Source organism: Homo sapiens, chromosome 11, assembly GCF_000001405.40.
Source record: "Homo sapiens chromosome 11, GRCh38.p14 Primary Assembly".
NCBI classification, from domain to species: domain Eukaryota; kingdom Metazoa; phylum Chordata; class Mammalia; order Primates; family Hominidae; genus Homo; species Homo sapiens.
In genome coordinates, this window is record NC_000011.10 from 128,744,435 (window position 1) to 128,768,892 (window position 24,458).

A 24,458-nucleotide genomic window follows, 5' to 3' on the forward strand; every position below is an offset into this window, starting at 1 on the left:
TTACATTTAGGGAGGGCTTACTATGTGATAGGCATGAGTTAGAACACTATTATTATCGCTAGTTTTCCAAAAAGGAAACTGAGGCATGGAGAGATTAAAGAACTTGTCCAAGGTCACAAGACTGGCAAGTGGTAGATGTAGAATTCAGATCCTGACAGTCTGGCTCTGCGGGTAACATGTCAAAGATGACAGACTGTACCTCTCACAAACCAGCAGAATGGAGAGCCCCCTCAACCCTCACATCAAAACCCTGTGGGTGCTGTCATTGTGCCCATTTTATGGATAAGGGGAGAACCAATTCACTCAGCTAGTAAGTGGCAATCATGTCTACAGAAAAGCACAAAGAAAATTATCGTGGGGAATTCTCAATCTAGTAGGAGAGATAGAACATAAACTATGAAAAACAACAATGGAAGGCAATGGTTAAATAAATATAAAAGCAACATGACAAGGCAGTCTAAGATAAAGTGCCAAATTGGTGCCAACAGACTTCAGCAGAATGGAGGTTCTTATGCTGGGCTGGAGTGAGCAGGGAGACTTCCTGGAGGAGGCAGAATGTGAGGTGTTCAACAGTTTGGTGAATGAATGAGATATGATTAGGCAGAGAAGACAGGGAGGCAATTCTATGCAGGTGAAGCTGCATATGTATATTAAATGTACATTAAATATGCCTCCAAAGGTTAAGAGTGCAGGCGAGAAAGAGGTGGGGGAGTCTTACATAACAAGAAGAAAAACTATTTGAAATAGGACCTTAAAATGCAGGAGGTTGAGCAAGAAAGAGAAGGCATGGGAGCACAGGGCAGAACAATTGAAGGTGACAGAGGGAAAATGAACAGAGAACACAAAAGGAAAGGAGGAGCAGAATGAAATAGAGCACAGGAACTGCGCAGAGACGGCCCTGGCTGCCGAGCTCTCCCAGAAAATGGACCTCCCCAGGCCCCACCTCCCTCCATCACTCCCATCCACAAGGTTTCTGCCACATGTCACAGCAACAATATGGTAACCATATGCCCCGAGCCACAAAAGAACTAAACACCTTGGACAGAGCAGTTCACCCAGATGTGCTAGTTGGAAATACTGCACCCTCAGGACCTGCTTCCTGACTTGATGGGCCTGAGGTCACCAAGCATGGCTCAGCCGTGAATCACGGAAAAGAAGCGGCCATTAAGAGCTGGAAAACGGATTCAGGGTCTCCCCTGTCCCCATGCCCTGAGAGGAAACGAAATAAAATGGATGCACGCCTCATCTGTGCGTCGAGTTGAAGCGGCATTCTTTTCTGGCTGCTGCCAGTCACACAAAGCGTCCCGGCTTGTGTGCGTGAGGCAGGACGTCCTTGCTTCGCAAGGCTGATTTTGCCTTCGTCCCCCTGCCAGGCTGCTCTCTGGGTGTTGCTGGAAGGGAGTGAAGCCCCCCCATATGCATGTTTCCTCGTGGGCTCCCTGTGATTGTAAGGGCCCCGGTTACCATGGCAACTGCCACGTGAGGAAATTGTCGGATAAGATCATAGCTTCTAGGAATAGGACCTCAAGTGGTTGTTTGGGGAAAGTGGTCAGTGGCTTCATGTTTAAATTTGAACAAGAAACAGTCACTGGGTGTGGCTGCTTTAAAAGAAAATTAGGCAAGCCTTGGGGGAAGGCTTCATCAAAATTACTCAAAGCGCAAAGATAGAAGGGGTAGTCTGGCTGGTGTGGAGGTGTGGGCAGGCAGGGAGGGTTTGCATTTCCCATCGGGCGCTGAGGTTTTTATTTAACTTAATTCATTGCACACTTCTTAGGTGCCAGGAAGTGTGCCAACAACTGGGGATGAAAACCAGGAATCAGACTGATGAGGTTCTTCTCTTCAGGGTGCCTAACTAGAATTTGTCCTCGAGAAAAAGAATAGGAAAGTTCCCATGACCCCAGGAATCGAAGAGACAACCAAGGGCACATGCCATCCACACTCTTTCCTCTCCTCAAGGCTTAGAAAAACTGCAGAACCTGCCGCCTCCACCCCTGGTGGACAAGCCTCTGCTTCCCCTGTGGGAGCCCATCCTTTAGGATCTGAATGTTCTGACTCCCACCTTCCCTTTGTCACGCAGAGTCCTCTCTTGTCCCTGCAGACCCAGATTGAGATCCTCTTGGTCTAGCTGCCAGGTCAGACCCATAAAGACCAGGCCTCAAGGGACATTCTTAGAAGCCTCTTTCTCAAGCAATAGGAAAGCTCCGGAACTCCATCCTGGCTCCCAGGCTACTATTTCAACCCTGCAGTGGGTGAAATTCACTCCACGAGGAAGCACTGCAGTCACTCCCCACGGAAGCTTTTCTTCCAAACTTTCAGCTCTTGGTGGTCAGGGAAGTCTGACCATTTATCATCATCGGAAAGCATGAAACTTTCAGTAAAGGATGGTTAAAAATGTCCAGGAGCTGGGAGATTAAGTAACTTGCCCAAAGTTGCACAGCCAATAAAGCTCCACATTGACCCAGCTGGTGGCCAGTGCCTTTTGTTAGAACAGATTTAAAGCAGCTGTCCATGAAGGGAAGCAAGCAGTGTGGTGATTGGCTGCCTTTTGACCCCATCTGCAGCCAGGATGGCCAGGGCTCCTCTGCAGGAAGAGGCTGCTCCCAGTGTGGTCCAGATCTTCACCCATCCTCAGGCGGCACCATCACTGGGATCAGGAAACCATTCCCCAGGTCAGGGACAACATTCACATCATGACAATCTGTAAGGCGCGGGCTGCAAGACAGCAGCCCATTGTCTTGAAGCAGGGTTCTGGAGGAGACACGGTGCCCATCACCTGCCCTTTCTTTGTCCCAGAGCAGAGGAGGGAAATGACGAATCTCAGCGCAGCAGCACTTTATCCACCTGTGTGGCTGTGCTGCAGTATTTTTCATGACGGGTACAGCCACTCCAGTGACATCTGGCGGAATAGAGTCCCAGGGAAAAGTATGTGGGACAGCACTTGTGCTGGTGCATCCAGGTGGCCTTCCCAGAAGCAGCCCTCCCTGCAGGTTCTCCCATGCCATGTGGGTTTTGTCGTGGTGGTTGCTGCTTCCATTTTTATCATCCCACCTTTGCTCCAGTGAGGCCTGTATTTAATACTTCCTACCCATCCGGCTAGGTGGGAGAATACTGGCTCCGTCTTACAGAAGAGAACATCTAAGCTGCTTAATGGTAGTAAGTCTCAACATCTCAGTCTGGCTTTGCTTTGCGCTGTCCCTTTGATACTGTGGGACCTACTTTAATGGTCAGGCCACCCCCTACTTTATTCTCTGAGAGGAGCTTCGTCCCGGACGGTCAAGTGTGAAGAATTACACCCAGTAGAGCATTGCCGACCCTTTTGTGGTTCCCACTGCCATCTAGAAAAAGCCACTGGACAGTGGACAGACCCAGTGTAAAGAAACAGAAAGTAAAACACACTGTAAAATGTTCTCTTCGTGGGGTTCAGATGAATGTTCTATCTCCCATCCTGTGAGTTTCCATATTCAGCACTTTTTGCTTTTCAGCAGTAAAAGCATTCTCTGTGGGAGGAGAATTTAACTTTGATCTTTAGAGATGCCCTTTAAATGTGGTTATGGTCAAAAAAGTGACTGTGAACACTCAAAGTCAACAGGCAAAGGTAAATACCACGGGAGACCTGGAGCAGCACTGAACGGGAGGCCCGTGAGGCACAGAAGGCCATGGCTCTGGATTCTGTTACAGGGTACAGTCCTGGGAGGATGCAGAGATCCTCTTCTCTGTGCTCACTTAGGCTATACCCTTCATTTGTAAAACACCATTAAATAAAGTACTTTCGTCTGCAAATAATTGCAATTGCATCTTCTAGGAATTCTTTCTCTGGGTCATCCACTGCTGAGCCCCCTCCCCAGGAAGTGGAATTGTAAGTGAAAGGGGAAAGGCACTTGGGAGGGGGAATGATGTTCAACAAGACTCCTTGAAAAGTCAGCCGGGGTCCAGGCACGGTGGCTCACACCTGTAATCCCAGCACTTTGGGAGGCCGAGGCAGGTGGGTCACCTGAGGTCAGGAGTTTGAGACCAGCCTGACCAACATGGTGAAACCCTGTCTCTACTAATTAGATGGGCGTGGTGGTGGGCGCCTGTAATCCCAGCTACTCAGGAGGCTGAGGCAGGAGAATTACTTGACCCTGGGAGGCAGAGGTTGCGGTAAGCTGAGATCGCGCCTCTGCACTCCAGCCTGGGCGACAAGAGTGAAACTCTGTCTCAAAAAAAAAAAGAAAGAAAGAAAAGAAAAGTCAGCCGGACACTCTGAAGCTCTGTGGCAGATTTGGCTGTGTGCTACGGCCTAAAATTGGAGACGGCAAAGTGGAAACGGTTTAGGGGAGGAGTAGAAGCTTTGCAGTCAGGCCAGCAGCATGGAGACTCATGAGGTGAGGGGCCAGAGGCAAGTAGCAAACCTCTTTAAGCCTCAATTTTCTTTTCAATAATATGAGGATCCTAACTCATATTTTAAAAGGTTAAATGAGGTGATGATAGTAAAAGTTCCTTGGAAACTTCAAGTCATCAAATAATACATGTTCTATTTGATCGTTCTCATTTAAAAATGTGGTCCTTGTTTGGTTTTTGTCTGTTGTTTATTTTGTTTTTGTCGTTTGGAGATAATTCCACTATGTGTCTATCAGAGGACTTAGACTTTAATTCTGAGATCGATTCCCCCCTCACTGTGTGAACCTAGAAGGGTTATGCTTTGTGCCTCAGTTTCCCCACCTGGACAGTCATGGTGCTGATTCCTGCCAGCCAGTGTCAATAACCACAGTGAAAGGATACTCAGACAGTCACCTCTACAGCCTTTGAATATGGGTTTTCGGTTGCTGAGTAAAATGCTCGGAGACGTTCCGGTTACTATGGCTACATAAGAAATTACCCCGAAACCTAGTGGCATAAACCAATTATTAGGCTCATGAGTTTTGTTATCCTTCACTGAAGGCTCGTTCACTCTCAAGTCTGGAGGTTGACGCTGTGGTTGGCTGTGGCCTCGGTTCCTCTCCTGCGGGCCTCTCCATACGGTTGCTCAGCTTGGGCTAATCTGAGCTTCCTCACAGCATGGTGGCGATTTCCACGGACTAGAGGCCCAAGAGAGAACAAGAAGCAGGTGGAAGTCATAATACCTTTATCACCTTGTCCCGGAAGTCACGCAAGGCCATTTCTTGAGGCAATCATAAAGTTCCATCTGAGTTCAAGGGGGAAGAAAATAAGCTCTGCCTTTTGATGGGAAGAGAGAGGCAAAGATAAGAAATATTCTGATGGTCATTTTGAGAAAATGCGACTGTGCCTCATGCAAAGGAGTTTTCAGTTAATGCTTGATGACTGACTAATGTTTCCCACCTTCTTCCTTATCCAACTTTCCATAAAATTTACCTCCTCTTCCCTTTTCCCTCCCTGCCCTTTACGCAGTGGAAATGAGGAGCAAGAAATGCGCACATGTAGAGAGGAGAGAGAAGCAAAAGGCTTGGCCTTGCTAACAGCGGCCACCTGCTCTTGGCACTTCAGATGAGACTTGGAGTGACCCCAACCCAGGCTGATCACCCCCACTGCTGCAGAGCCTGCTGGTTTCCCAAAGCAGAGAACACAGAGGGCTTTGCACCTAAGTATCTTGTTCGCATTTCATATTCTCTCCGACTGGCAAGAGAAGGGACTTCGTGTCATTATGCAAATAATGTAATAAAAAGCCAAAACTAGCGTGCTCCCTGTGGTGACCCTGGGTAATGGATATGCCAGAGATTAGCCTTCCAGAGCCCTGCACTGGGAGCGGCGGAGTGGGCCCACTGAGCAGGGCAGCCACAGGGAACTTGGTCTGGTTGCTTTTGACATTCCTTTCACCAGACACCTCCAGCCAAGCTGGTCAGCCCCAGACAACTGTCCTTAGGAGATTCAGGGCAGAACAGAGGGAAAGGAATGGGAAGGACACAATGGGACATTGGTGCTTCTCAGGCCCCATGTCTTGGGTCATTCTGTGTTAGAAATAAAGCTCAGCCTACGTATAAGGAAGAACAGAGGGAAAGGGTCTCCCACTCATGTCCACTTCTGGCATTTTTCCTCCTCTAACTCCACTGGACTCATAACTGTGAAATATTTGTTCCTTCCCACACACAGGATAATGGCAGAAATTTCTGTTATGTCTTCCCGAGTGAAATGGGGAGATACTCAAACCACCCTCTTCTTCTTTCCTTGCCCCTCTGGAGGCTTTTCCATCTCGGCCTTAGCTAGACTGTTTGAAGATGCAATGGTTTGCTCATCGTTCATATCGGCCAGGCCACTGTGCGGCCATGCTCTGATCACATCCCATCACTCAACTCATGTGCACATGAAAAGTAACATTTGACTTAATCTAAGGAAAACAAATGTTGGAAGACACATTTGTAAGTATAACAAGAAAAGATGCATATAGGCACACATATGTGACAAATTCCAAAATAAGTGAAATTTTTAAATTCGTGAATGCACAGATGTACCCACGCCATTCTTCTGATATTCACTGAGTATGTGGTGTACGAACAACAGTATAAATAGGTGCTAGCCACCTACCATTTTCATTATCTCACAACAGATGCCTCCTCTCCTCATTCACAGGGCTATTCAGGCTATGTAACAGAGCCTTATCTATGGCACCTAGAGGCCTGGACTCAGAAACCAGAGACAGGCAGAGGACTGAGCCTGCAATGGAATGACACCCATGGTTTTAAAGGAAGAGTGGACACGCAGATTAGTGAAATCGGCTCTGTACTCTAGGAGCCCATGGGATTTGCATTTCAGGCTCTATCATCACCAAATCTACTTATTAGTAGTTTAGGCAACTAATCTTTTAAACAATCAACATTCGGAGAAGTAGGTATCGCTCTGGCTTTATCTGAACTCCCTCTTGACCCATCTCCAACCCAATGGTTCTCACGCCATTTCTCAGCATTGGCCTTCATTAAAATTTTTTTTAACTTTTTTTTTTTTTTTGAGACACTGTCTTACTCTGTTGCCCAGGATGGATGGTATGATCATGGCTCACTGCAGCCTCCACCTCCTGGGCTCAGGTGATCCTCTCACCTCAGTTTTCCAAGTAGCTAGGACCACAGACACACCACCACACCTTTTTTTTATTTTTTATTTTTATTTATTTATTTTTTTGAGACGGAGTCTCGCTCTGTCGCCCAGGCTGAAGTGCAGTGGTGTGATCTCGGCTCACTGCAAGCTCTGCCTCCCGGGTTCACGCCATTCTCCCACCTCAGCCTCCCAAGTAGCTGGGACTACAGGCACCCGCCACCACGCCTGGTTAATTTTTTGTATTTTTTTAGTAGAGACAGGGTTTCACCATGTTAGCCAGGATGGTCTTGATCTCTTGACCTCGTGATCCACCCACCTCAGCCTCCCAAAGTGCTGGGATTACAGGCGTGGGTTTTTTTTTTTGGGTTTGTTTTTTTTTTTTTGTAGAGAAAGAGTTATGCCACGTTACCTAGGCTGGTCTTGAATGCCTGGGCTCAAGCATTCCACCCGGTTCAGCCTCCAAAAGTGCTGGGATTATGGGCATGAGCCATTGTGCCCAGCTTTTTAAACAATTTTTTTCTTTTTTTTCTTTGGAGACAGAGGCTCACTCTATTGCCCAAGCCAGAGTGCTGTGCCGCTACATCGGCTCACAGCAAGCTCCGCCTCCTGGGTTCAATCGATTCTCCTGCCTCAGCCTCCTGAGTAGCTGGGATTATAGGCACCCACCACCACACCTGGCTGAGTTTTGTATTTTTAGTAGAAACAGGGTTTCATTATGTTGGCCAGGCTGTTCTCAACCTCCTGGCCTCAGATGATCTTCCCGCCTCAGCCTTCCAAAATGCTGGGATTACAGGCATGAGCCACCATGCCTGGCCACATTTTTAAGTATTTACTTTGTCCCAAGAACTTCAGGTGCTTGATTTAGGTACTTTACTCATATTATCTCATTTTATCTTTATCCAGAATTACCAGATCAGGTACTGATATTATCCCCAACCTACAGATGAGGAAATGAAGTTCTTGGAAATTGTACTAGATGCGTAATGAGCAGCAGATGAAGCTTGGATAGAAACTCAAATCTCTCTGACTCAAGATTTATGCTCTAAGTTACAATAAACACCGGAGTTACACTTAAAGAGCTTATGGTCTAATTGAGAGGACAGAAAATTCACAAGAAAGAACCTGTGAAGAGTAGTGGTTATGTGCTTAGGCTGTAGACCTGAATTTGGATCCCACATCACACTAACTTTCTGTGTGCCTGAGCAAGTTATTTCACTTTTCTGAATTTCCATTTTCTCATCTGAAAAAATAGAATACATCCCTCATAGAATTGCCAGGAGGATTAAATTAGGTTACTCATGTAAACAGTGTTTTGTATTTAATAAGTGCTGTGATTATTACCACTTTTATCTGTTTTCTGTAACGACGACAGAGGGTGTATTATATCATGTACTAAAGGCACCTTGCCCAAACTGGAGGAGAAAAAGTATCCCACCGGTTCAAGTGCATTACTGGTAGCAGGCCCCAGCTGGATCCAGGACCAGGAGGGGGTCGTGGAAAGCAAGCATTTCTATCGGCAAATGTGAGTGATCTGCTGTAGCTCAGATGCCACCCCAAGCAGCTTGCCTTGCCAGAGGTCTCTGGTAAAGGGGCATCATTGGGTACAAATGTGCTGGGGCACTTCCCTGCCTGGAACAAGGGACCCTATGCCACCCTCTGGATCTAGGACTCAGTGGCTCTGGACCCACAGACCCAGCCTTTCCAGCATTCTGCAAAGGAAAGTGCTTCTCAGAAGCCAATGACTAAGCCAGCCCAGGGGTTCCTTTTACAGAGACAATTGTTGGGTCAAGAAGGAACCCCAGAGCTGAGCCCCACATAGGGCTAGGAGCCCACGCCTCCTGTCTTTCTCACTTGGAAGTCAATTTTACATAGCATGGTCTAAAGCCTCATGGACCCCACAAGTCTTTTAAATAATAACTAACTTCTCTTCCCTTGAATAAAATAATCAGCAACAATAGGAGAAGCAAAGTCATGAGAAACGGAAGGAATGTAGTCCCTCTGAGGATGGCTGGTGAATTTGCATGCTGGTGTTCTTCCTACACCCAGCCTATCACCTCAGTTAAGTACTTATTGATGATTTATCCGTGGAAAGTTCTTGAACGCTAGCAACATGCTCATTTCTGTAAAGAGCTTGAAGTACAAGGAAGAGTTTTAAGTTTAAACTTTAAAAAGTTTTAAGAGTTTAAGTAAAGAGCTTTATAAGACACACATGAAGTAGCAACAGCTCCTCATGTGTAACAAGCTGCAAATAAGTGAAATTTCTGCCAGCTCAGCAGCTCCTCGCCTGCAGACAGCAGCAGCCACATCAAGTTGCCCAGACTCATTCCTCTTGTTTGCCTCCTCCGTCCCTACTCTGGTCTTCCCAGAGCAATTTGGAGAGGGCTCCCTACTACCAGTGGCATCATAAAAATGACAGTGTACTTGCCAAGGGCATGGTCTTGGGGTGCTCCTAAAGCTGTTGAACTGCAAAAAGGGGTGCCGTTTATTTGCAGAAGCCACAAGAATGCTCTCCTCCCCAACTCTGCTCTTTCACTTGGGTCTCAAATCAGCTTGTCTGGGGCCTTATCTCCCCAAATCTTTTATTCCACTTAGGGGCCCTCACCTCCCTTCCCTTGCCCATATTGGCTTTTCAAATTCAGCCCAGTGAGCCAGACAGGGAACTCTTCTCCTTCATCTTCTCTCTCTTCACAGCCCCCATGATCTATCTCTTCTTTTCTCTACATTGTAATGGAAAAAAAGCTTTTTGTCTAGCCATGATTGCAAATAGAAGGGGGATGTGTGTGTGTGTGTGTGTGTGTGTGTGTGTGTGTGTGTGTGCACATATGCATACCCAAAGCAGTATTCTCACGAGCTGTTAACAGCTCAAAGGAGTCATAGGTCATCATCAGAAAGGTTTCATGGAAACAGGAAGCTCTCAGGAAGATCTCACTTACCTTACACAATGGCAAAGATAATTGTGCATCAGGGTGAAAGAGTAAAGAAAGGTTACTTGCAGCAAAAGGAACCACAAAATTAAGGCACAGAAGCATACCTGAGTAGGGCTTGTCTAGTGGAGCAGTGAGAATAGTTAGAATTGGACACAAGTTGCAGCAAGAGGAAGTTGTGCAATGTAAGTGTGGCAGGTGGGACAAAGATGACCTTTGGAAGACAAGTGGCTGAGAAGAGATTTGCTGTGGTCCATCTCTAGGGAGCTCTCTGAGGTTTTTGAGCAGATTGTGGCAGGATGACAGCAGTATTCACAACTTGCAAGGGAGCTGGATCCAGCCAGGGAGCGCACAAGGTGTACTGAATGAGGGAAGAGCATGTCAGTGGGTCGTCAGGGAGGGAAGAGTCTCAGAGAGAAATGCCCAGACTGGACAGAAGTGTGAGGCATTCCCGGTGAACCGGGACGCTCTCCTCCTACAATGTTGCCACTTGATTGGAGTTTCCTTGATTGTGAACTACATTCTTAAGGAAACTTCTATTCCAAAATGAGTTCAAACTGGTTTTGTGCCCTTTCTACACCTACACTCTATCTCATCACTTGTTTTTTTCTAGCTGTGTACCACTCACTTCCTTAAGAAGTCTCTCCTGGGTCTGCCTCCAGAACCGCTGGCTTTGTGTTCTCTGTGTATTCTCTTTGCTGTGAGTCTTGATTTTGCCGTCTGCATGTCCCCTTGGCCAGGACAATCCTGTGTTCCCTGTTGCCTGGTCCACCCTCCTTAGGATAATGATGGGAGGAACTTTTTGCCCATCTATGGAGCATCACTGTGCCCAGCCCTGCCTCCCGGGCTTCTTTGCCTCTGATATTCTGTCATCTTCTCCCCCAACCTAGAAGAGGGAAGGGAAAGAAATTATTTTACTGGAAACTCCAAGGTTCATGAATGATAAACTAAGAACGTAAGCCATTCTCTACAGCAGAAGATGCTACCTGATTCCTGAAATGTCATCTGTTTTTGTAGCAGGACTGTGGTACATGTTCTTCACTCTTATCACCAAAAGACACTTAGGGGTCATAGGTGGTAATGTGTCCTCTGCTTCCAGTGCGGAGCTCAAGGAATTTCATGGAGTCAGGGACAGCTGTCTGAAAGGTTGCAATGTCACCCTTTTCAGCTCAGAACCATAATTCCTTGAGCCCAGATAACAGTTCAAAATTTAGGATATGAAGCCAAAGCTGAACTCTAGCTGAAATCAAGAGTGGATATAATAACCAAGAAACAAATGGTTCTGACAAGCACAGCTTTACTCTGAGCATGACTCAAGGGCATCTGGTAGAAAATGAAGAAGGATCCCAGCAGATGTTAGGGCTAGGGAGATCCCCTCGGTTGGGGGATGTAAGTGTTTTAATATTGTGTGGGCAACTCTGCTTTGAATGTATGTCTGGAGGCACCTACACCATCCAAAGCCTTCTGGTGCAAAAGCAGGACTCCTAGAGTATATTCCAGTATTTTTTCCCTGATCCCAGCTGAAAACAGCCATAGAAGAGCCTCCCTTTTTGAATTATGGCTGTCTGTCCGCTGGGGTGGAGAATGGCCCTGGGAGACAAGAGACAGCCCATGGAGCAGGTTGTAATTCTACAGGCATATGAAGAGCATTCATTCTGAAGAAGACATTCAATTCAGGAATGTGAATTACACAAGGAAGGTAGACAAATCCCAGCTTTAACAAGTGCTGTTCACCTATCACTACATTTTCAAGTAAAGGTGGTGTATCCATTTGCTAGGGTTTCCATAACAACATACCAGGGCTGAGTGGCTTAAGCAAAAGAAATTTATTTGCTCAGAGTTCTGGAGACTGGAAGTCCAAGATCAGGGTGCCAGCAGGGTTGGTTTTCCTCAGAGGCCTCTCTCCTTGGCTTGCCAATGACTGCTGTGTCCTCACATGGCAGCCCCTCTGTGCACACACTCCCCTGGGGGCTCTCTGTGTGTCCAAATTCCCTCTTCTTATAAGAACACCAGTCATATTGGATTAGAACCCACCCTATCAGCCTCATTTCACCTTACCTCCTTAAAGGTCCTATCTCCAAATACAATCACATTCTGAGTACTGCGGGTAAGGGCTTCAGCATATGAATTTTGTGAGGACACAAGGCAGCCCCTAACAGGTGGCCTAAGAGAATCTTTGTTTGAATGCTAATAATCATGATACCTAACATGTTCTGAGTGTGACTCACTATGTGCCAGAGACTTCTAAGTACTTTGCATGTATTATCACAACTATTATCACAATTATAGATTATATAATTATTGATTATATAGATTATAGATCAATTATAGATGACTACCATCTTCTCTGAAGACTTACTTTGGTGTAATTATGTGACTGTAGTGAACACTATGCCCTGGTCCCTGACCTTGGATGCCTGTGATTCGATGAGACATGGAATAATGGGAGACTCTTACCCTCATGTTTTGATTGGTAGCAGATCTCCGGAATGTGCAAAGTTTTTTAGTTGTCGTTGTTGTTGTTGTTTCGAGACTGTCGCCCAGGCTGAATGCAATGGCACGATCACGGCTCACTGCAGCCTCTACTTCCGGGGCTCAAGTGATCCTCCCACCTCAGCCTCCCAAGTAGCTGGGCACATGCCACCATATCTAGCTAATTTTTTCTTTCTTTCTTTCTTTCTTTCTTTCTTTCTTTCTTTCTTTCTTTCTTTCTTTCTTTCTTTCTTTCTCTCTTTCTGTTTTTGTAGAAACACAGTTTTGCCACATTGCCCAGGCTAGTTTAGAACTCCTGGACTCAATAGATTCTCCCACCTCAGGCTCCCAAAATGCTGGGATTACAGGCATGAGCCACCATGCCTGGCCAAGGCTTCTTTTCTTAATCCATGATCTCCCAAAGTCACACCCAAGTCAGTGATGGGATAATATGAGTGGGAGGACCCAACAACCTCTTTTGGAGGGTCTTGCCCTGACTGGCACTTCACGTGTCTGAGGTTCCTCTTTCGTCCTTTGGCTGGCTGAGTCATCAACATTGAGATCTACAGGATGCACCAGCACCTCCTAGAGGGCCCTCAGCAAACCACTGAGCATTTCTTACAAGCTACACCCCCACACCAGATCTTCTCATTTAATCCACCTATCGACTCTGTGCTAAAACTATTTTTATCCCTGTTACAAATAAGGAAACTGAAATTGGCCTGGCCACAGCCATGGGCACCACCCTTCCCTTGTGTGACCTTGAGCAGCACACCTAGCCTCTCTGGGTGGATCTCACTGGCCTTGCCTGGAAAATAAATGCTGGATCTCATCTCCCCTTCATTGCTGATGACTCCACTCAGCTCGTAAGAGGCATTTCTGCTTATGCCTGGAAAAATCTAGCATTCACACACCACCACAATACTATATTCCATGCCAAGTCACCACTATTCTTGGCCTCCCTATCCCCACCCTCCTTTTTGGGGGTCCCAGACTACAGAACCAATAAACAAACCCACTTTCATGATTCCTCCATCCCCACTCCACTGCCCAAAGTCCCTCCTCACCCAGGTAACCTGCAAACACCCATCTGGTTTGCATAAGGGCAAACCTGCCCCCTGGAGTGTGAGTCAAACAGGAACTTCCAGACAAGCTGTCCTGGGGCAGCCCTGGGCCACCTTGCCAGCTCAAAGCAAGAGTGTCACTTGCTTGGGTGAAGAGTGACACTGGGCTTTCTGTCTCTTCTCTGGCCCTGCAGGAGGCTCTGTCGGTGGTGAGCGACGACCAGTCCCTCTTTGACTCAGCGTACGGAGCGGCAGCCCATCTCCCCAAGGCCGACATGACTGCCTCGGGGAGTCCTGACTACGGGCAGCCCCACAAGATCAACCCCCTCCCACCACAGCAGGAGTGGATCAATCAGCCAGTGAGGGTCAACGTCAAGCGGGAGTATGACCACATGAATGGATCCAGGTAAGCTCACCAGGCCTGTGCAGGATTGGGGGAAGGCACAAAGTCGCCAGATCTGCAGCAAGTGGCTTCTGGCACTTAAGGTTTTTGCAGCAGATGGGGCTCTAGAGCTGGGCCAGGAAGCCTGTGTCAGTCCCTAGAGAGCTAAGGCAGAGAGGGCCACAGACTGATGATGGGGTGGAGTAGGGCTAGGAAGCCCCCCTGCCTCTCTGGGGCCCACGAAGCCCTCAGAGGCCAGGTAGGAGTCAGGCCCCAAGCGCCTATGCAGACACTCGTGGAACACTTATTTCTTGTTAATCCCAGGCCCAGGTCCAGTCCTGTTGGGGACAGCTTAGCAATAAGCTACTCTTCCCTGTCCTGTTGAAGATACTTAACCCCTCTGGGCAGGTCTCAGCAGAGCAAAGGTGACCAAACCATTCTTTAGTAAGAGTGGAGAAGGGATGAGGAAGGTGTCTACCTTCCTGTGGGGGCTCACTGTGTCTGGGAGGGGGCAGGCACCTGGAAGGCGTGCATGAAGTGGGTACAATACTGGGTCAGTTCGGGCTTTGCTTGTAGAAATGGAGACAGGAGGGTCCAGGGAGAGAAAATCACAGGGTCATGGAAGAGGACAGTGGACAGGCGGCCTCAGTTTTGCGTCCTGCCTCTGCCCCTTGGGCAAGTCATCGAAACCCCTCAGAGCACCAGCTTTCTCCCTTCTCAAACAGGACTGGGATATTCACTTCCTTATGGTCCTTACTCTAGCGTTACTCTGATGCCTCAGGGAAAGGACCTGGGATGGTGCCTGAGACGCGTTAGGAAAGTGCTCTATAGTGACAGTGATTGTTATGAGCAAAGACTTGAAAGACAGAGAACATCAGTCTTATTCACAAAATATCAGATAATCTACTGGGCCAAAGGCACAAAGAGATGAAAATAAAAAGCAACAGAGGGCCCTGAATGGCAGGCTGAAAACATGTGCCATTTATTCCACAGCCAGAGGCTGACTTTGAGCACCGATGTGACATTTAACCCAGAGGCTGACTTTGAGCACAGACGTGACATTTAACCTCATCAGAGCAGTGACTTAAGACTAGCGAGCTGACAGTCCTTGCGCACAGACGGTAGGATGGGAGAGTCAGAAAGACAAGTGAAGAAGTTAGTAAAATATCCCAGATAGGAAATAATGAAGTTCGGAACTAAGTGATGATAGTGATTTTGGAAAGTGAAAAGGACAGATACATAAGGGCGATAGCAAAGAGATGATTAACAGGGCTTAGGTGAGTAAAGTGTGAATGAAGGGGGTGCATGACAGGAAAGAATCAAAGGCGACTAAAGCCTGCACATTTTAAAGGCTGGTGCTGTGAGCAGCCGCAGAAAGGTGGCACAGGAAATGCTTTAGGATGGGATGTCAGTGTTCTCTTTGAGATTCCTTGTGAGCAATGGGTAGAACATCCAGATAAAAACGTCTACTAGGCTTTGGGAACTGAAGCTCAGATAATCTTTCAGGCCTGGAATTTACGTTTGGGCATCATCTCTAAGGAGTCTGAACTGTGAAAGTGGATGAGGTCACCGAGGAAACTAGTCTAGATTGAAGAGAGAGAAGGGAATGAGCATGGTTGGGAGGGAGAACTCCTCCAGAGCAGCTCATGGCCTCAGACCTGCCTGTGGGAACTGCCAGGCCTACCACATTTCAACCCTACTAACCAAAACCAGTGACTGGGATCTCAGCCACCTTTCCAGATCCCAGGATTTCAGGAAGGCTCAGAGGTTCTGAGCCTGCAGCCCCTCAGATGAATCTCTCTCCAGATGTAATTCTGATGGTGCCGGAGCTCCTAACAGTCGAAGGACATGGTGTGTTGAACGTTTTCCCATATTATCTTACCACTTGTTCCTCACCACTATACTAAGAAGTAGTTACTGTAACTTCACTGTTACACAGGAAGGCAAGCAGGGCTTTCAGGGGACAGTGCTTTGTCTAAGGATTTAAAGGAGGCAAAGTTGGAGCCCGAACCCAGGCGTTTGGTTCCAGCCCCACGTGCCATCTGTTAGGCACCTTTCTGCTCCCTCTGCTTGTGTGTCATGCTTTTGCACCACCACCTCATTCCTGCCAACGCCCACCTGGTGAGGAGGCCTATTCTACGATGCCTCCTAAATGGGGCCCTTCTCCAAGGAGCTCCCAATGCTTGTTGAAGATCCAGATCCCACTGGTGGAGATTCCTTTTTTTTTTTTTTTTTTTTTTTTTGAGATGGAGTCTCACTCTGTTGCCCAGGCTGGAGTGCAGTGGTACAGTCTTGGCTCACTACAACCTCTGCCTCCCAGGTTCAAGCAATTCTCTTGCCTCAGCCTCCTGAGTATCTGGGATTACAAGCACATGGCACCACACCTGGCAAGTTTTTGTATTTTTAGTAGAGACGGGGTTTTACTATGTTGGCCCGGCTGGTCTTCAACTCCTGACCTCATGATCCGCCTGCCTCGGCCTCCCAAAGTGCTGGGATTACAGGCGTGAGCCACCGCACCCAGCTTTGTTGGAGATTCTCTGGCCTGTTGTAACCTGAATCTGCCTACTCCTTACCTCCACTGCCCCTGCCTGGTGCAAGCCAGCAGCACCTCTCCTAGGCTTCTGCGGGGGCATCCTGCTCTCCCCACTTCCTCCTGCCTTCCTGAAGTCTATTCTCCGGACAGCAAGCAGCCAGAGCCATGCTTTCCTCGTTTGTAATCCTCTTGCTCAAAACTCTTCAATGGCTTATGACAAAATGCAAAGCCCTTAGTGTGGCCCCACCATCCCTCTGACATCCTCTCTACTGCCCCCTCCCTCCCACTTCTTCCCTCCGCGCCAGCCTCATAAGACTCTAGCTGCTGCTCCTAGACCCCCAGGCACCCTCGTGCCTCAGAATCTCTTCCCCTGAGCTCCTTCATTCTGGAACATTCCTACTCCATCTAGTCATATGACTCTCTCCCTCACGAGTTTTGGGTTTCTCTACCTGAACCTCACCTTTTCAGAGGCCTCCCCTGGCCACCTGATCGAAACCAGCGCCTCCTCACTCTTTACCCTGCTTAGAGTGTCTGTCCTAGTTCTTATCACCTCCCTCACTGACACGTGGGCAGGGCCTGAAACGGTAGGTGCTCAATAAATTGTCGTCAAATAAATAACTGAGAACACATGGCTGAGCAGACTCAAAAGAGAAGGTGCTTGTTTAAAGTTAGGACGCAGATCCAGGTCTGCTGACTCAGCCCCTTCAATGCTGAGCCTGAGTTGATGCATGGGCTTCTGAGTTCCATCTTCATGCTCAATGGAGACCCATGGGTATTTGTGTCTCTGGTGGGAAGGAAGTATGCTGCTCACCACTCCCTCCCCTGCTCTCAGAGAATCCTCAAGCACTTCAGGATACTGATCCTGTGCAAAGAGGGTCCCCCAAGGAAATTGATTTTTCAGAACCCACTTGCCAGCTCATACCTGGCTCCAGTCACACCAAAAGCCAGCTGGAGAGGGCCTGTGTGAATATTCCAGTGAACAGACAGGATATTTACCTGGCTTTGGCTACACAGAGCAGCAACCTCTGCTTTTGAGTTGCTTGTCTTGACCCATACCATCAGCGGGTAACAAAGTAGGTTCAGAAAGACTGATATCTTCTCACCCACCCTGGGCAAGCAGAGACAATCCTGTGGACTCTCAGAGCCAAGCAGCTTAGGCACAGCTATCGCCAGCACCCCACAAATATTCCCTAAGGGCTCACATGTAAGCTGGACTAGTGGCTAGCAGGAAGCAAGGAGTTTTAGAAAAATGTCATTGCTTACAGTGGAACCATGTCAGACCCTATCATTTAATTATGCCAAAAGCAATGACAGAATGAAATAAATGCCAGGCTCTTTAAATCTCTCATCCTGAACACTGTGCTTCTCCTATCCTCTGAGTATTATTGATAATGACAGTTCGTTACTTGCACATGATTTGATTGTTTGCAGTGGTCTAATTCGCCATAACACAAAAAGATAGGAGAGGATGTTATAATGATTCTGAACTTCAGATGAGAAAACCAAGGCAGGGTATAAAATTTGAGATTGCTTGGCTCATGGGCTAGACCTGTGCTGTTCAATGCAGCAGCCACTAGCCACAGGTTGCTACTGAGCACTTGAAATACGGTTAGTTGAAAATTGAAATGTGCTCTAAATATAAACCACATACTGGATTTAGAAGACTTACTATGGAAAAAGTGTAAAATATCTCATTGATTATTTATTATGCTGAAATGATCTTCTTTTGGCTATATTGAGTTAACATATTAATATACTTTAATATATTATTAAAATTCATTTCATCGTTTTGTTTTCTTTTAAAAATCTGGCTACTAGTAAATTTAAAATTATGTAGCTCGGCCAGGTGTGGTGGCTCATGCCTGTAATCCCAGCACTTTGGGAGGCCAAGGCGGCGGATCACCTGAGGTCGGGAGTTCGAGACCAGCCTGGCCAACATGGTGAAACCCTGTCTCTGCTGAAAATACAAAATTAGCCTGGCATGGTGGCGCATGCCTGTAATCCCACCTACTCAGGAGGCTGAGGCAGGAGAATTGCTTGAATCTGGGAGACGGAGGTTGCTGTGAGCCGAGATCATGCCACTGGACTCCGGTCTGGGCAACAAAAGTGAAACACCATCTCAAAAAAAAAAAAAATTATGTAGTTCGCACATGTGGTTCCCATTCTACTTCTATTGGACAGTGCTGGGCCATGGTGGTCTGGACTGTTCTGTGATTCACAGTGCATTTTTTCTGCATTCCTTGACAGCATGGGCTTCTGAGTTATGTCTTCATGCTCACTGGAGACCCATTGGCATTTGTGTCTCTGGTGGGAAGGAGGTGTGCGGTGCACCTGAAGCTACCATGCCCACTTGCTTTTCACCCCAGTAGCAAACCCTCTGGCCCAGGAGCAAAGGGTCAAGTGCAGAGACTGAGGTCTGAGGATCTCAGAGACAGAGTGGCTTGCCCATGTTGAGGGAGTTTTGTGCTCTCTTTCTTCATATCTTCCTGTTGTGGTTGACTCTGTTAGGCTGGGTTGCCTTGAAACAGCATGGCCCATAGGTTCTGTGTCGCATGTAGACTTCAGCAACTTGATCCAAACTGTGGTCTGCAAATAACTCTCAGCTGCATCCTGTCTCAACCACAGGGATAGGGGAAAACATCCCATGAAGAAAAGAATATCAGGTTATAGAGGGAAATGCAAGACTTGCCTTGTGAGCCTGGTATTCAGGACCAGAGTTCAGAGCTAACCTTCCTTGAAATTCCCTGGCCTGGCCCCCAGGGTCTGGATGCCCTGGACACCTAGGGACTCACATTCCACACAGAGAAGGATCAGCTCCTGTTCCCTGGAACTTGTGCCTCTCTGGCTGCGAGGCCCCTTTCTAAACTCTTGTGTTCTCAACCTTGCAGTATGAGACATGTCACACATAACCTGGGTGGGGAGGATACACAGGATCCTGGAAAAGTTAGCAGCATCTACTGTGTATGGGGATGAAAACAGCTAGTGGATTAGGGCGGTGGCTTTATCATAAGTGATGCTTTTTCTTTTCTTGGAATTTGCTTTTAAGTTATTGCATCTCCTTTTCAAAAACAAAAAAGTCACATCTATGTCCTACAGACTTCCTAAAGGCAATACAGATTGTTTAATTTTTGCACAGGGTGCATACTACGCAGGAGTTACACGCCGCGGGTCCTAATGCAGCCATGTGACTTAGGCAGCCCGCGAGGCCTCACTTTGGCCACGTGAACATCAGGTATCCTTTGACAGTGAGCCTGGGCTCAGATGTGCGGGTCTGATGATATACCCAAGTTCAGTTGCTCTGAGTTGACTAGGAAGGTAGAGAAGATCTTTGTACAGCCTAAAGAGGTAATCTTCAGGAGAAGTCTTTGAAATCTCCCTTCATCCAAACACCCAAGATCTTACACCTTGTTTTAAATGGCCTAACACATTGCAAAGCTTTTTTTGGAAACCAGTAGCAATGTTCACAGAACACACACAAACAGAACTCGAGGAGTCAAGAGCTATGTCCAGTGGTGGAAATGAAGGACAAGGGCTACCCTACCCTCGGCAGCTCTGCTGTGGCCTCTGTCGCCCTGAGATGGAGATGTGCTGAGTTATTACACCCTTGGGGCCACCGCCACCTCCCTGCTCTATTGTGGCAGCCCCAGGCTCTCTTGTCACCTGTCCCAGTGCTATCAGCTGCCAGTGGGCCCCAGCCCCATGCTAGCTGTAAGTGCAGGTCTTAATACAAATTAGCAGCAGTGCAGGCAAGCTGAATGGCAAAACCTCGTCCCGCACTCCCCCTCCCTCTTGTTTTCATCAAGCCTTCTTCACAGGCGCCAGCTGCCTCATTAAAGAGCAGCCTTTTATGCTGGGCTTCACCTGTACCCACCCTGAGCGGCAGCCGTGGAGCCCCATGGCCGCACGCAGGGCTTGCGCTGGCTGGAGGAGGCACGGTGCTTGGGAGCTGCAAGAATGGAGGGAGGACTGGCAGGCGAGCGGGCGAGGTATGGCTTTCCTTCTTTCTCTCCCTGAGCAGTGGGAGGAGGGCCAGCTGGGCAAGTGTGGGGAACCAGGATGGTGCCAGCCCTTCTCCCTAAGGACACCCGCCTGCAGGTCCTAGTGCAGAAGCCTGGGACCGAGGACAGGGCCATTTTCCAGAGGAGAAACACCCTGGCGGGCGAGCGGCCAAACCGATCACCTGTCCAGCTGGAGAGCAGGTGTGTGCACAGGGCCGGGGGAGGGAGAGAGGAGGAGGGAAGCGGAACTGGGAGAACTTCTATGGGTCAGTGAATGAGGAGGTTCTGCTCAGGGAATGAGTGGCAGCGGCCACCCCAGCAAGAGAGCCCCCTCCTCCTCTGCGTCCACTTTCCCTTCGTCTAGGTGCCCATGGCTCCTCTCCTTACAAGGTCACGTGTTAGGCAGGTTTGGGGAAATGTTTCTTTCAGCTTTTCACATTTATTTTCCTCCAACCCTGGCACCTGGGACCAGCCCTGCCACCTGTGCCTACCGTACATGGCCATAACCATAAAGGCTCACTCCATTTCAGTGAGTCCTGAGGTGCTGACTTCTCTGCACAGCAAGAGGTCAGTTTTTAACTCAGAAATCCCCAGGGGCCCGGCTGATGTGGAAAAGAATTTTTCCAAATATCGTATCCCCACCGTCCACAAACGGGAGGAGCCCGGGGAGTGTGCCCTCCTGTCCCACCATCCTGCCCCCTGCTGTAGTTCTCCTTTCCGAGAGACCCCTGCCCATACCCTATGCCCTCTTGCTCTGGGGGTCCTCCAAGGGAAGAGCGTGCAGTGTGGAGCCCACCTCTCCCACAGAGGCCGCCTGCCAATGAAAACCTTGCTCACTTGGTTGCAGGCCAACTTAATCCTTCAAACTTCTGCAGCACTTGGACTGTTTCACAACTGACAAGGATGCAGGGAAAGGCTGCCAGACCATGTGCGTGAGTGTGTGTGTATGCACGCGTGTGTGTAATGTGTATGCGTGTGTGTGCACTGTGTTTGCATGTGTGTGCATGTGTTGAATGTGTGTGCAGATGAAGTGTACGTGCATGTGTGTGCATGTTCTCTGTGTTGAAATGTGTGCTTCCATGTGGGTGAAGTATGTGTGTTCCATGTTGGAATGTGTACAGTGCATGTCTGTGCATGTGTGTTGAAGTGTGTCCATGCATGGGAGTAAGCATATGTGTGCACGTGTTCTCTGTTGAAGTATGTGCATGCATGTGGGTAAAGTATTGTGCACATGTGTTCTGTGTTGGAGTGTGTGTGCACATGTGCATGCATGTGTGTGAGTGTGTGCCTGCAGTTAGCCCCAGGGCGGGTGAGGGGACCCAGTGCACTCGGGCCAGAGCTCAGCTCAGATGCAGGCACCAGGGTCTGACTGGGACTGCTTCATCTCAGGCCAGGTCCTTCCGCAGCAGAAGCCAAAGGGCCAAACGCTGGTGAAAAGTCCTGATGTGCTACTGCCTCCCCTCCCCTCCCCTGCCATGGGGACGTTAAACCTTCAGCAATCTGGGACTCTGACGGCTGGTTTTTGGTTCTCTGCCTGGAAAAACAGTAGGCGAATAGTAAAACCTTAAATTCTAACATGTGTGAGTTATACATCTTATTTTCATTTTCAGCCCATGTTTCCCTCTGTAAGACATCAGGAAAAAATTACCGTCTGACTTCTAATATCTCAGTGGAGCATTTATCTCCCAGCTATGATAAGTGATCTTCAATATTTTTTTCCTTTCAGATTAAGAAACAAATTCATTTAATTTTCTTTATTGAATGTGCTCAGGCCTCCCCGCCCTGCCTGGGTCTCAGGAAGCCCTGGGCTGATCTCCCTTCTCCTGGGTTAGTGACTGCCGTCCCTGCTTGTGGGATGGGTGGGTCCCTATCTGGTACGGCCCTGCTCCTCAAGGCCTCGCTGTGGTCCGTTCCTGCGCCTGGCAGGGGATGGAGGACAGTGGCCAGGCCTTTGGAACGTCCGGAGAGGTTATGCGGCCTAGAGTTGGAAGGCTGTAATCTGAACCTTATCTGAACTCCTTGGTCTGAAGGCCTGGTTTGGAGCTCTTGAGAGAACTGGCTGTCTCCCAGGCTGCCAGAACCGATGCTTCCTGCTCAGTATAATGGCGGCTACAGCTTCTCCTTGGCCTTCCCATCGTCTCCTTTGGTCCTGCTGCTGCTGGAGTGGCTGAGCAGCGGGCACTGGGTGTGACAGGGTGGCACCTCCCCCAAGTATGCTGGAGGTGCGTGATGCTGGGCTGGAGGGCATGCAGAGTGTGTTTGCCAGCCAGCTTCAGGGCGCCAGGTGGCCATGGGTGGGACTTCACCCCTCCAGACAGCTGCCCATCACCAGTGCTGCAAAATACCAGGTGCTGATCAAGTTCTGTAGTTCTAGGCTAAGTTGGATGATCTGCTTTCTCTCTTGTGAATGTCCATACTGCTTCCACAGTGAGCTTGGGGCCAGGGATGCAAAATGCCACAGGGCCACCACCTCTCCATCAGGTGGAAGTTCCTGGACTCCATTCCTTCTCCAAGTAGCAACCAGCTCTTTTGCATGTGTGCTTGATAGTGAAGCTTAACACAGAAGACCTGAGTCCTGTTTCCACCTTGACTAGCTGTGTGACTGAGCCAGGCAGCCCCTGTCTCGATTTCATTAACCATGAAAAGGAGATAGTAACCCTTGCTGTGCCTATCCTGGGGGCTTATTGGGAAATTCGAATACAACAGTGCATAAGAAATGCATTAAACTTATATATGTGCAATAGAAATAACTCACTGAGAAAGCATTTGCTGCTCACCTCCTGTAAGAATACTAGGGTTAAACAAAGAAAGTGATGACTATCCTCTCAAGAACTCAGCAGTCAGGGGGCGCAGGCCAAGCTGAGAATCAGACAGTGTGACAAGTCCTTATAACCAAGGCGGGCACCAAGTGCTGGGGGACTGTGGGGAAGGCGTGTCTGGGAGCATGGACTAGGTTGCCTGGCAGTGAGGCTAAAAATGTAAGCTGCAGTCAGACAGGGAGGGCTGCGATGCCACACAAAGAAGCTCAGACCTTGGTCTGAGGGCACTGAGGCGCTGCCAGCAGTTTTTACGTACTGTAATTATAGGATTGGGCTGGGATTTGAAGAAAACTCTGGTGGCAGCATGGAGGATAGAAAGAGGGCATCATCATCATCATGACACCAAGTGTGGCCGGGCAATGGCTCCATGCTCATCATCGGAGCCCTGGGCTCATGATTCAGAGGCTGAGGCAAGCTGCCCTGTCAGTGCTGACCGCCTCTGGGCTTTGTCTCTTCTCACTTTAGGGAGTCTCCGGTGGACTGCAGCGTTAGCAAATGCAGCAAGCTGGTGGGCGGAGGCGAGTCCAACCCCATGAACTACAACAGCTATATGGACGAGAAGAATGGCCCCCCTCCTCCCAACATGACCACCAACGAGAGGAGAGTCATCGTCCCCGCAGGTAATTCGAGAACCAGGCTGCCTGGGCGCCATTCACTTCCCCACTCTCTGGGGGGGCAGGGAGCATCTAAACCTTTATCTGATACTCTATTCCCTGTGGAATTGCAAAATGGAGAAAGCTGCACGCCAGCCGGGAGTGGTGGCTCGCGCCTGTAATCCCAGCACTTTGAGAGGCCAAGACGGGTGAATCACTTGTCAGGAGTTCAAGACCAGCCTAGCCAACGTGGTGAAACCTCATCTCTACTAAAAAAAAAAAAAAATACAAAAATTAGCCAGGTGTGGTAGTGGACGCTTATATTCCCAGCTACTCAGGGGGCTGAAGCAGGAGACTCGCTTTAACCGGGAAGGCGGAGGTTGCAGGGAGCCAAGATCACACCACTGCACTCCAGCCTGGGTGATGGAATGAGACTCTGTCTCAAAAAAAAAAAAAAAAAAAAAAAGCTGCACATTTTACCTGACTTCCTAGCTGCCCTTTAAGGCAGTATCCCAGATGTCACCTGATGTGTGGGTGCTAGAAGCCCCACCCTTAAACAGACCACATCACAGACTCTACATCAATGGCCTGGTCCTCAAGGACGGGCTGCTCAGAGAGCAGAGGCAAGGCCGCCTCCACCCAAAAGG

The 24,458-nt window shown here is 48.6% G+C and overlaps 1 protein-coding gene across 9 annotated transcripts in view, besides 4 other annotated features; it reads left to right on the forward strand.

Moving 5' to 3' along the window:
* Positions 1 to 24,458, forward strand: part of FLI1 (Fli-1 proto-oncogene, ETS transcription factor) — a 128,136-nt gene that overhangs the window by 59,303 nt on the left and 44,375 nt on the right. For 6 of the 9 annotated variants that reach the window (NM_001440370.1, NM_001440371.1, NM_001440369.1 and 3 more), the window contains exons 2-3: positions 13,681 to 13,892; positions 23,684 to 23,838. In NM_001440370.1, the coding sequence (NP_001427299.1) occupies positions 13,762 to 13,892; positions 23,684 to 23,838 (286 nt within the window). In that variant the 5' untranslated portion in view covers positions 13,681 to 13,761. Of the gene's footprint in view, positions 1 to 3,802; positions 3,857 to 13,680; positions 13,893 to 20,216; positions 20,388 to 23,683; positions 23,839 to 24,458 lie in introns of all 9 variants that reach the window. The other 3 variants (NM_001167681.3, NM_001271010.2, NM_001271012.2) reach the window with 3 other exon arrangements.
* Positions 11,245 to 11,364: a silencer, noted in NCBI's record as "silent region_4064". NCBI's record gives its function as "represses an Ori minimal core promoter by ATAC-STARR-seq in GM12878 lymphoblastoid cells {active_cell/tissue: GM12878}" and the evidence as "EXISTENCE:reporter gene assay evidence [ECO:0000049][PMID:35858748]".
* Positions 12,991 to 13,250: an enhancer, noted in NCBI's record as "active region_5740". NCBI's record gives its function as "activates an Ori minimal core promoter by ATAC-STARR-seq in GM12878 lymphoblastoid cells {active_cell/tissue: GM12878}" and the evidence as "EXISTENCE:reporter gene assay evidence [ECO:0000049][PMID:35858748]".
* Positions 13,307 to 13,807: an enhancer, noted in NCBI's record as "H3K4me1 hESC enhancer chr11:128627636-128628136 (GRCh37/hg19 assembly coordinates)". NCBI's record gives its function as "activates a minimal SCP1, AML or CMV promoter by ChIP-STARR-seq in primed H9 embryonic stem cells {active_cell/tissue: H9 hESC(primed)}" and the evidence as "EXISTENCE:reporter gene assay evidence [ECO:0000049][PMID:30033119]".
* Positions 13,808 to 14,308: an enhancer, noted in NCBI's record as "H3K4me1 hESC enhancer chr11:128628137-128628637 (GRCh37/hg19 assembly coordinates)". NCBI's record gives its function as "activates a minimal SCP1, AML or CMV promoter by ChIP-STARR-seq in primed H9 embryonic stem cells {active_cell/tissue: H9 hESC(primed)}" and the evidence as "EXISTENCE:reporter gene assay evidence [ECO:0000049][PMID:30033119]".